This window comes from Homo sapiens, chromosome 21 (assembly GCF_000001405.40).
Source record: "Homo sapiens chromosome 21, GRCh38.p14 Primary Assembly".
NCBI classification, from domain to species: domain Eukaryota; kingdom Metazoa; phylum Chordata; class Mammalia; order Primates; family Hominidae; genus Homo; species Homo sapiens.
Genome location: NC_000021.9, coordinates 26,490,519 through 26,503,160, shown reverse-complemented (window position 1 = coordinate 26,503,160; position 12,642 = coordinate 26,490,519). Strand labels below are relative to the sequence as shown.

The window sequence follows — 12,642 nt, the reverse complement described above, 5'->3', positions numbered from 1 at the left end:
TATTCTACCAAAATTAGAATTATTGTCATAGAGACTGATTGTTTTGTGGACTACAGCACAGCTCTAAAATTGAGCCCTGTTTAAAAAAGAAATGATAACATTAAGGCCACCATGAGTTCCATCTACTTGCATTTTCCTTGTCCCACCTAACTCCAAAATCAAGTATAAAACAGAGACTTTTGACTACAGCAAATACACTCAGACCACATCTATAGGGCAGAATGTAAACACTTTGGCAAAAATAAATTAGCTTATGTAAATAAGAAATAAAAAGAAAAAATTCATCACAGAAATATTCATCTATGAGAGCAGACTACCACCTGTTTCACATATGGTATGAAAGATAAGAGATTTTTTAAAAAATCTCTTCTCCAACATTACCTATAGCTCACTGGCATATTACAACATAGAAACAAACAATAGGAAACAGAAAATATATGTGGAGGTAAACATAGTATATAATGAGACTTATGAGGACACCTGCTTATATATACAACAAATCGGAGTCCTCTAGAAGAAATAGACACTGTCATATCTTGCCCTTGTGTGCATCAAGACCAAGATAAATTGTAAAAGCCAAAATAATTTTTTATTTACTTGCTGGAGAGTTCATAGCCTGAAATAATTTGTGTACAGGAAGGAAACAACTACCCTAATTTTCTTTAAATTTATTTAACTTCATAAGTGACTTATTCTTCTCTTATTGTTTTGTAAATGTAACTAACCAAAGTAATTATTAGTTACTCTTCCTGTCAAATTTGCTGTGCATTTTTGCCCGCTCCCAGAGTGTCCTCCTAATCAAGCAACATTCACATATCCATTTCATCTCCTTTGCAAGATCAAAAAAAAAAAAAAAAAGCAGTTCTCAATTCTATACATAGCAAATAAATTCTGCCCGTGATGCCTTTTGCATTGGGGAGCAGAGTATCTTTGATCTGTTTGGCTTGACTCAATTTCTGAACATCTTTGTCTTTAGTACTTTGCCTTCCTACATAGACTGTTCTAAATTTCCAAGACATACTGCTTGATTTCATTAGATTTGGGGTGCATAAATCAGTGCTTTATTTTTAAAATTTAGAATGAAATATTTTAGGATGTAAAAATGATTTCACTACTAATGTCCTGGATGGAGAGATTTTTTTTACTGCTTTTATTTTTCTACTCAGATATTATTCATATTTCTTTTTACCCTAAGGCATTGAGGCACTAGGGCAAGCAAGCCAAGATCCTTTGGTGTATGTGTTTATCCACATTCATTAAGATATACTTATCCTTTGACACTTTTAATAATACTCATCACCTCTCTTTCTCTCATGGCGTGTTCTTCATCGTCAGTGCACTTTGCAGGCTGTCATTAATTCTTACAGCACTTCAGAGAGGTAGATAAGTGGGTATTACTTGTCAGGTTTTCATTCAGTCTAACTGTGGGAATCCTTCCATCGAGATAACATAAAATGAAATTGGGACCCATTATCTCCACTGTACAGATGAAGAAAAAGAGACCAAAAGATTAAGTGGTGAACCAAGGGGGAAAAGAAGGTCCTTGTGAACAGAATAGAAAAGTCTTTTCAATTCCAGTTTTCAGTTCTGAGTCTTTTGTGTTTACCATGTTACAGACCTCTCTTGGCTAGGGAAAACAAATGGAATGTGAATGTGATGCTTTAGAAATTTCTGTATAAAACCTGTAAGAATTAGAAGTGATAACATTAACCAAATACATTGCACAACATGATTTGTCTATCTTAAATTTAGCACTAGAGAAATAGGGAAGCATCTATTCAGAACAGGCCTTTTCCATCTTGCTGATTTTATTTGTTTATTTATTTAGACGAAGTCTCACTCTGTCACCAGGCTGGAGTGCAGTGGTGCAATCTCGGCTCACTGCAACCTCCAACTCCCGGTTCAAGCGATTCTCCTGCTTCAGCCTCCCGAGTAGCTAGGATTGCAGGCATGTGCCACCACGCCCAGCTAATTTTTGTATTTTTAGTAGAGATGGGGTTTCACCATGTTGGCCAGGATGGTCTCGATCTCCTGACTTCATGATCTGCCTGCCTTGGCCTCCCAAAGTGCTGGGATTACAGGCGTAAGTCACTGCGCCCGGCCTTACTGATTTTATTCTAAGGAAATAAGTCACTCACTAGGATTTCCTGGATGAAATGTCCATCCTTTTCTTTGAAAATCTAAATGGTACATGGTACAAGTATGATGCTTAATAGATAAGCAAAACACAACTCTGTCCCACTACTGTTTTATAGGAAACTTTCTACTCTGATGGCTGAGTCCTCAAGTCTTCTATGTCTCAAAACACTCTAATTCAGAAATTTTAAATGTCTAATCTAAGATGTCAGTAAACATCTTAGACTTCATGCAAGGCTTATCCCCATCTTCCAGCTGAGGCCAGCAGTCAGTGGGTCACCTGCCCTTGGGGAGAGGGGTGTGGCCAATTGCTCTGTCTTCCCACTCATTTCCCACCCAGAAGTCCTCCCCACCCCCAGTGCAGGCCCACCAGTGTGAGAGCTGTTGTTGGGGAGAGAGAAAAAGAGGAAAGTTCTTGTTCAGCTCCTGATAAGTACTGTCCTAAGCCACTGGGCCTCTCTAATAGCAGCCTCCAGTACTTAGACACAGCCTCTCCCCTGCTGGCCTGGAAGCCTTGCTGGCATCTGCTACAAGTGTCTGCTTTCCCTTCCTCCTTGCACCACTTCCTGGCCTTCCATCATCCGCTCCACAAAGACTCAGACTCTCCTATTGTGGCCCATTGCCCTTCCAGGTGGTACTCTCAGGACCTAGAAGAGCTCCAGGCTGACCCTCTTTCCTATGTGGCCCACATCTGATGCATGGATAGTTTAATTTCTTGCCTGTTATGGACTGAATGTTTGTGCCACCATAAAATTTATATATTGCAGCCCATATCCCCAACATGATGGCATTAGGATGGTGGGGCCTTTAACAGAGAATTAGGTTTAGATGAGGTTAGGAGGGTGGATCCCCCACCATGATGGGATTAGGATCCTTATAAAAAGAGGAAGAACCACCAAAGGTTCTTCTCTCTGCAATGTGAAGACACAGCAAGATGGTGGCCAGAAAGTAGGTCCTCACCAAGAACCAAATTTGCCAGCACCTTGATCTTGGACTTCCCAGCCTCCAGAACTATGAGAAATAAATTTCTATTGTTTGAATCACCTAGCCTGTGGTATTTGTCATAGCAGCCCAAGGCAACTAAGACATTGCCCTATTTTGGGTAGGGTATAAATTTCCCCAATCAAGCCCTTTCCAGTTCTCTCCCTGCACTACCATAGACCCCTTCTCTGAAAAAAAAAAAAAAAACAAAAATGTGTTCTGTTCATTGCTCCTCCCTTTCCCTTTCCAGTTTTCCTTTCCACTGCTCAAAAATGTAATCCTCTTCCAGCCAGTCTGATCCACTCACTGATCTTCTGGCATTTCATGTGCAATCAGACCCAGCAGCCTTTCACAAACATAACCTCCTGCTTATCTGTCCAACCTCATTTCCAGCTTCTCACTCACAGATATTGTTAGGTCCTGCACTACTGGACTTGTACAGTGACCCAAATGCACCAGGTTTTCTCCTTTTCATCTGCCTGTGTTTTGCTTTTGCCTTGCTATGTTAGTTACCTGTGGCTGCCATAACAAATTACCAAAAAATTTTAACTAAAAACAACAGAAATTTATTCTCTTGACGTTCTGGGGACCAGAAGTCTGAAAACAGTGTGTCAGCAGAGCCATACTCCCTCTGGAATCCCTAGAGGAAAAACCTTCCTTACCTCTCCCAGTTTCTGGTGCTGTCAACATTCCTCAGCTCATGCTGAAATCTCTGCCTCTACAGTCACATGGCCTTCTCTTTTTCTGTCTGTCACATCGCCCCTGTGTGTCCCTTATAAAAATACTCATCGTTGTATTTAGGGCTGACCCAGGTAATCCAGTATGAACCCTACACCTCAAGACCCTCAATGTAATTACACCTGCAAAGACCCTTTCCAAATATGGTTCAGGGAATTAGAACATGGACATATCTTTTTGGAGACCATTCCTTTCCTCACATCAGTTACCATAGCAGCCTCCCAATTAGTGTCCCTGTTTCCATTCTCGACTTTTATTATCTATTTTTCATTCTACGAATATCATTTTGAAACACAGCTGATATGGTTTGGCTGTGTCCTCAACCAAATCTCATCTTGAATTGTAGTTCCCATAATCCCCATGTGTTGTGGGAGGGACCCAGTGGGAGGTAATTAAATTTTGGGGGCAGTTACTCGCATGCCGTTCTCGTGGTAATGAGTGAATTCTCATGAGATCTGAGGGTTCTATAAGGGGCTTTTCCCCCTTTGCTCAGCACTTCTGTCTCCTGCCGCCATGTGAAGAAGAACGTGTTTGCTTCCCCTTCCCCATGATTGTAAGTTTCCTGAGGCCTCCCCAGTCATGCGGAAGTGTGAGTCAATTAAACCCCTTTGCTTTATAAATTACCCAGTCTTGGATATGTCCATATAGTAACATGAGAATAGACTAATACAACAGCTCTACTCTTGCCACTGTTATTGTTATGTTCCAGTTTTCATGTTAGCATGGCTCATAAGGCCCTTCACAAGCTAGACTTAATTCTCCAAGCACATTCACAACCATTAGTCAAACACCCTCCTACCATCAAAACTGAATACAGACTTGCTGTATTGAACTTTTCTCTCTTAAAACAGGCCTGTGCTCTTTTGCCTTCCTACTGGTTGTTTCCTCTCCTTGAATACTCTTTTCTCTTCTTCCTTGACTAACTGATCTTTCAAATCTCATTTTAATTACTTCTTCCTTAACATCTTTACAATTTGGACGTGATCCTATAAGAAAGACAAGGTCATTTTTAAAAAGCAAATCAGCTAGCAAGAATGCTATGAGAAGAATGCCAACAAAGAAAAATGGCTATAGGGCCTTCAAATAAGATGTTATTTTTGTTGTCTGTCTTTCTCCCTGAGAGAGGCCAAATATGACACCTTCTAGATCATTGTTGTATCCACAGCTCCTAGAAAAATACTGACTAGGTACTTCATCTGTAGTAAGTGAATATATGAAGAGATGTGTTCCTCACTCTTTTTCAAGAACTTAGCAAATGTAAAAGGTAGAAATCTTGGAAAGCTGACATCAAATTTAGCTTCTTGAAATTTCAAACCAAATAAAAACATATGATACAAATGACATATGTCACCTGAATAAGACATACAGTTCAAACTTTAATTCAATAGAGGGCATAAGATCAATATTTACACATATTGATCTTACAATAAGAGTCTGCTGAAGGGAAGTGGTCACCTGTCTTTCAATGTAGAAAAGAATGTGCATTCTGTAGGTATTTTGCAACATAACAGAGGGGCTTTGATTCTAAATTGATTGGTCCCCCAAAAATTAATTATTAGTTTTACATTATTAGGATATCATTGTACGAGGCAGTGTGTATGACTCCTTCTAAGGTGGGTCATATGGATATGGGTCATACTTCACTAGTCCATGGTAGTTTAATAACTTGAATTTCAAATAGTAAAAGAGCAAATTATATTTCTTAGCCCCATGTGCTACTGGAACTTCCCTTAGGGAATCATATAAGAAGCAAACTATCTCCTAGAAGCAGAAGGGAAAAATATAAGTCAAGATTTATGGAATAGGGCTGAAGGCTGTATAACCATTTTTCTTTGTAGGCATTCTTCTCATAGCACTCTTGCTAGCTGATTTGCTTTTTAAAAATGACCTTGTCTTTCTTATAGAATGAAATCCAAATTCTTGTTAAAGGGCTTATTTTATGTTCTATTACATGAATGATACAAGATTGATGAAACGATCTTTGAAATCATGGACTGGTGAATTGATTGGCATAATCCAAAACTATTTCTATAAAATAAGTTATTGATGTTGTTCCCTGGAATTTTTAGGATCTGGATTTCCTGCTGAGCGTACATTAGTAGGAAAGGGCCCCTTATCGAATTAAATCTGACCAAATATGAGGATGTTTTAAGGACCAAAGTTACTAAGAAAGTTGACTCTGATTCCAAGTAAAGAAAATTTTAAAACTTTGGCACAAGTGCAACTTGGTATAGCAAAGTTGTGTGTTGTTTGGTAACCTTTTTAAATTGTTAAAACTAAATAATAAGTTACTGTTCAATAAATATCTTTCATTACCAGAAGATATTTTCAAGTTGGTCATCCTACTAGATGTTAATGGTCCAAAAACAAAGAAAATTTTTGAATAAAAGTTATAAATGACTAAATGAAATTAATGTATACCTTTCCATTAAGATTCACTCACATCTGGTGGGAAACTGATCTTCCTTGCTGAACGTGGGTTAGATCAGCAATAGGGTATTGCATAAATATTCTATAAGTATTGGATAAATATCAATAAATATTCTATTTATCCGGGTCTACACAAATTTGGAAATTTCTAGCTTGCTAGAGTATTCTCCCCATTTGGGATGCACTGACCTGTCTATTTTCATATAATCAAACATATCCTTCAATGGCTATATATAAACAAAAAAGATTGCCAGCAATTGTTCAGTGTCTCTATTTCTGTAACATCTTGTTAAGGTTTACTAGTTTTGTATATTTACCAGAAAAAAATGATTCTATGTTAAATATTCATTTTGTACATCCATGATTTCTTCCTATATTTTAAATGCATTTTGTAGACTGAGAAAAAAATAATAGCAATATTCATTAACAGCATTTCTTTCATATAATCTCTGTTGATGGAAGTACTTTAAGTCATTACCTCTTTTTTTCTTGAGAGATTGATGCTAAAATATTCTTCTTTTCCAGTTCCACATATCTGAATCTAGCTGATATTTCTTTCCTTTGGACTCTGTCCTAGGCTTCCTAACCCAATTTCTATTGAGACAAAGCTCTTAAGCAGCTTCAGACCCCTTTGTGAAAATATTTGCCTCTAGTTACATCAACTCAGGGATTCCCAATCTAGCTACGTATTAGCACTACTAGGGTAACTTTAAAAATATAACAATATCTTGATCTCATCTCCAGAGATTCTGATTTAACCGATTTGACTTAAGGCCCAAACATCAGCATTTTTGTGATTTAATTGAAACCTAACTTGAAGCCAGAGTTGAGGACCACAGCCTTCACTCCAAGACAAAATGGGTTTGGCCCTCAAATTCTTTACCAAATCCGGTGCCCTGCTCTGCACATTCAGCTAAATAACTGGGGAAGCCTAACAGCCACGCCCAAGTCCTTGGAAGTTTCATCTGCCTACTAACGTGGTATTTCCAGGGATTCACCACAGTAGTGCTTCCATTTTGTTTCCTGAGTTTAAACCCCTTTGATATCCCATTTTAATAAGATTCTGGAATCCATATCCTCTTCTTTTAATCGTGAAGTTGATTATGCTGCTGAAACAAATAAACCCTGAAATCTCTGTGGCTTAGCCAAATACACTTTCATTTCTTGATCACGTCAACAGTTCACCCGTGTGGCTCTCTCTCAAGTCACGGCTGTGTGACTCCGCCTCCTTCCATATTGTGGGCTGGCCCTCCCAGGATCCTTTGCTCCCAGTCACGCAGATCTGCTCCAGGAGCACAAGGGGTGAAGTGGAAACAGGTCTTTGTGCAGTTGGAGTCTAATTGGATCACATAATGCCCAATTAGACAACCCTCCAATGCAGTTGGAGGTGACAGGAAGTAAACGTGACTTTACTGAAGTGACAGGAAGTAAACATCACTTTCTTTAAGTCTGTTGGGAAAAGTTAGTCACATGGCCCTTCTGAGACGCGTGGGAAGCTGGGAAATGTAGAGCCTAGCGCAGATATTTGGCAAGCCCTAACTGTTGCAAGCTTGCTGCTAGCACTCACTTGATTTAGATGGATCTGTGGACCCAAAGATTACTACCCCTTTAATTCCTGTTGCTGTTAGATCTACCGCTCTCTGCCCAATCTGCATTAACGTGATCAGAAGAATCTCTATCTGAAGTGATAACCCAGACTGTAATTCTCCTTATTCCGCCTGTCCACATAGGCAACATAAGTTATGTGAATAACTGCAGGTTGCCTAATTCTCCCAGTCTACACAGCTTATACTGACTAACTTTCTGCTCCTCTGGTAGAAAAACAGTCATTTCTCAGGTTGTTCCTCTTTCCTTTTGCCTGTCCTGGTACATGAAACAGAATTCAGTTTCTCTGACTTCTGGGACATAGAAAAGAAACAAAGTTGTGGTGTAAGAACCATCACTCCGATGGCTCAACCCTGGCATAAATCTTCTCTCTGGTAAGTTCCCTGTAACACGTTACTCTTACAAGAGTAAGTAGCACCCTGGTCTATGGGAATTTCAAAGAATACAGTTTAAACATTCAAACACATTATAGTAACTGCTTCTAAAAATACATCTGATTTTTAAATCTTTTCTTCTCCTTTTAAAATTGACAAATAGTAATTACATATATTTATGGGGCACAATGTGATGTCCCAGTTTGTGTATACAAGCATAGAATATTCTGAAACTGTTACTCTTTTAAGGGGAAAAAAAAAATCACAGAAGATATCTTCCACACCAACTACTGCGTCTTGGTGTAGCCATCTTTTGCCAAGGTCTTTGAGACAAAAGTATATCTTTCCAAATTAGAAACAAGTAATTAAAATTTAGCTAGATAATATGAATGAGTACATGCAGTTATAATTACTTATATATTTAATATTACCTTGATAATTATTACATCTCCACAGACTTGAGATTGTTGCTTATCTTGACAATACATAAGAATTCTTGAAAGAAGATATTCTCTTTCTCCCCCCTCAGAAATGGAGGTGATGTTGGGGGAGATAATTGTGTGAATAAATATAGGTTAATTACAGCTAGTCAATATTCATAGAATTTTGTTCTTGTTGGACTGTAATTAATTATCACACCGAAATTTAACTCACTTCTAATCTTTTTTCAATGTTCATTAAGCTGAGATTTCCATTTCTGCTTTGCTTTTCTTTCTTGACCTGCAGCAACTGTATTATTAAAGTAGAATTTCTGCTAATTAGTTGTGGTACTAGGGAGCTGGAGGGAACCTCGGGCATTGTCTGATCCAATTAGATTCCAACTGCACAAAGACCTGGATGGAAAGATCAGACTGCAGGAAGCAATCTAAGAATAACTAAAAGATTATTATTTTTAATTTATGTTTAACAGAAGTTTAAGAACATTAGTTTCAGAGAAGGACAGTTAAGAGTCCATTGATAATACAAGTAAAGCAAACTTCCTATCTATGCATGCTCATTATGCTGAAAGTTTATGTAATGCAGTATTAAAGAGTAGATATGCATTTTATAAACATGTTCATCTTTGGAAAACAAAGGTGGTTAAAGTCAGACCAGTAAGCAACAACAGTAAGCAAAGTTTATCTCCTGCACTCTTTGTGATACCTTTCTGGGCCTGATCCATCCCTTCTTTCCTACAAGGTGTCAGAAACTTCCCTTTCTAGAGGTCACTCCTCTGGGAACAGTAAGAGATCTAGTAGACCAAATTTACCTTAAAATTTCACACACATTCAGGGTGCTATTCCACAGTGGAATAAACTTCCTCCAGACTTAGTTACTTTTAAATATTAGGAGTGTCCAGTAGCTTTGGGTGACTTGGAATAGGATAGAGTTGTAATAGTCCTTTAGGAGTTTGAACTTGGTAACTTTAAGACACAACTAACTTTACCTTCAATGTTTTTCCTGAATTCTTTTCTCCCCACCTTCTTTCCTGTCCCACTGCCATTGCCAAGTTAAGTCTTTTACCATCTTTTGTCCAGATATTTACAACAGTCTTTTAATTAGAATGCCTGGATGCAGTCTGGTACCCATCAAATCCACTCTCCATGTTACCCTTAAACGTATCCATGTTTAGACCATTTCATTTGTTTCCCATGAACTCCAATAAAAAGTTCAAGTTCTTTACAGTATTATTAAAGACGTTCCTTATCCAGAAGACCCCACCCAAACCTCTGCTTATTCTCCAGCCTTACCTCTCTGTTTTTTATTCCAGCAACTGTCAACTTTTCATGGTCCCTGAAGCACATCATGATATATTGCATTCCTATGGCATTTCTGTGTTCTTTTGATCTGAAATGTGCTTCTGCTCTAATCCCGTCAACCCTTTAGGATTCAGAAAGGGTTAACTCCCTAAGTTACCCTTTCACACACACACATATACACACAACCTCTCTCTCACACAACCAATCTCTACTCACACACACTCTCACACATGCTAACATATATGATAGATGCCGTCCTCTCTGATCTCATAGAACCTAGTTTGCACTTCCCCATTTGCGTTTAATCCTATGCATATGCGTGTGTCTTTCCCAGTCTTAGTCTCCCTTAAATTTCCAACATCATAGGTAGGCTAGAGATATTTAAAATTGTTTCATGCTGCATAATTTATTATTCTCTTCGACCTTGAGATTTTTTTTTTTGAAATATGATCTGCCAGAACAGATGGCCACTAGAACTCTTCGTAGCCTCACTCCTGCAAACGTGCCCAAAGGTACGTTTCTGACTTTGTGGTACCACTTATATGTTTAGATGAAAGATAAATGGAACTGAGATTTGGGGGCATCTGTCTCTGTCATTCATTCTTTATAATTCTAGCTCACATCTGTAGGTGCAAACTTGAACCTAGAATTCAAATAATGCCAACCATACAAAGTTGCAGTGTGTGTGAATGTCTGTGTCATTGTTTGCCAATTCCCCTGCCTCTGCTACTAAACTGAGCACCTCTATTTCCCTCATGTCTTTCTCAGTGGTTACAAATGGCAGGTCTAAGGACAGGTATCTAATTAAAGCTAGGCCAATTACAGTATCTCTGGCCTTGGCCATGTGAATTGATACAAAGGTAGGTTCCCAACGCCAATCACGTTCCTTCTCTGGGATTGTATATACTGGAATAAGATGAGATTGAGATCTAATGGATAGACATAAAACTCAGAAACTCTTTGGAGCTGTGTATTAGCAGCATCTATAGTGAAAGACAATGATATTGATGCTATGATGAAAATAGGTTGCTTGTGAATTTTAATGCGCACGAAGCTAGACCCTAAGAGGAAGCCAAAGTATGACAGCTCCAATCAATCACATCAGGCTGACACAGGTAAGGTTGTGAGCAAGACATTTGAGGAGGTGTGACTGGGCAGGAGCTGTTGAGTCTGGGCAGCCTCAGGCTTGTGAGAGTTGTGTGCAGATAATAAATGTCAGAACCAGGCAAATCACTGACAGCCCTAGAACAGGAGATCTCCCCAGCAGACAGCGATCAGTCACAGGCTTGTCTCAACAGAGAATGGGAACTTGCGAGGGCCCAGGCAAAGGATCACAGTGGCCTGGGTGGGCAGGCCAGCTTGTAATGTGTAGACAAAAGCAATCAGTAGAGCCACAGGAGAAGACACTGGGTTAGGCACGTGGACTCATTGTCTGGAGTCTACTTGCCATCAGAGTTTATTACCTCCTTCAGCAGTTACTTTGGAAAGGTTTACAATCTCCAATATCAACATGAGTTTTATTAGAATCTTTAAATATTTAATCCTTATTAAATCTTTAAATATCCAGCTGCCCCCAAAAAGCAGATGCTGTTCTGCCAGGTCATTGACTGTGTGAGCCTCCATATTTATTTGAAACTCTCCATCTTCGAGTCAATGGAAAGGAAAGAGTATTAGCTCTGAATTTTCATATCGCATTCAATCTTTTAAGTCTTATATGCTCTCAGGACTTAAATCTCAACAAATGGACTTTCAATAGAAATCCTTGTAGTCACTATTAAAAAACCAGTTTGTGAGTTTTTATTTCCACTCAAAGCATGACAAAAAGGTACAGAAAGAAAAAGAAGAAAGTCCTGTCTAAAGTAATCACCATAAGCAAGTTAAGATAATTAGCTCAGTGGGAAGTTTCAGCAAAGGTTACTTCAAAAGGGTGAACCATGCCAATGCATTATAAATGAGAGTATTGTATCTGGAAGTAATTGAAGATTTTTTAGGCTTGGAATGAGAAAAGCAGGAAAGCCTGTGTGCAGTAGCTGTATCTATTTGGCTCTAGTTTATAATTCCATGTTTCATATTTTTCTTTTCAACACATTTTGATAGACTGTATTGTGTGGCAGAATGCAATCACCCATAGGGAAAGCATTCTACACTCTTGCCTTTCACTCACTCCCCCGTTGGATCAGTCATCAGGTCTTAGAGCTTAAATTTCACAGACATTCCAGGAATTCTTTTCTCCTCTCTTTCTCTACTTCCCAAGTAGAATTTTTTCATCTTTACATGCCTAGTGCTTAGTAGAGTGTCTGGCACAAAGAAGATACACCATAGCATTTGTTGAGTGGATGAGAAAATGAGAGCAAGGCAGGCCATTGCAATCTACTCAGCTCCGTGGTGGAAATTAGGACTGCCAAGCTCCAGTTTGAACTCTACCACAAAACTAGCTGGAAGAACTTTGGCAACTATTTTATTTTAGGTCCTCACATATTTGGTTTTCTTACCTTCAAAACACGTGAGTTGTGGTCAATGTCCCAAAAGTACTCTCTGATTCAAAAATCTGTTACATGTAACCAAGAAATAGCATTAAGAAATTACTACTATTCTCTCTAGTGTATTATATTTATACTTTAAAAAGAAAAACAATTCTC

The 12,642-nt window shown here is 38.6% G+C and overlaps 1 protein-coding gene and 1 long non-coding RNA gene across 7 annotated transcripts in view; one reads left to right on the top strand and one right to left on the bottom strand.

Moving 5' to 3' along the window:
• Positions 1–12,642, bottom strand: part of CYYR1-AS1 (CYYR1 antisense RNA 1) — a 175,618-nt gene that overhangs the window by 66,092 nt on the left and 96,884 nt on the right. The gene's annotated exons all lie outside the window — the stretch shown is intronic.
• Positions 1–12,642, top strand: part of CYYR1 (cysteine and tyrosine rich 1) — a 107,071-nt gene that overhangs the window by 70,126 nt on the left and 24,303 nt on the right. The gene's annotated exons all lie outside the window — the stretch shown is intronic.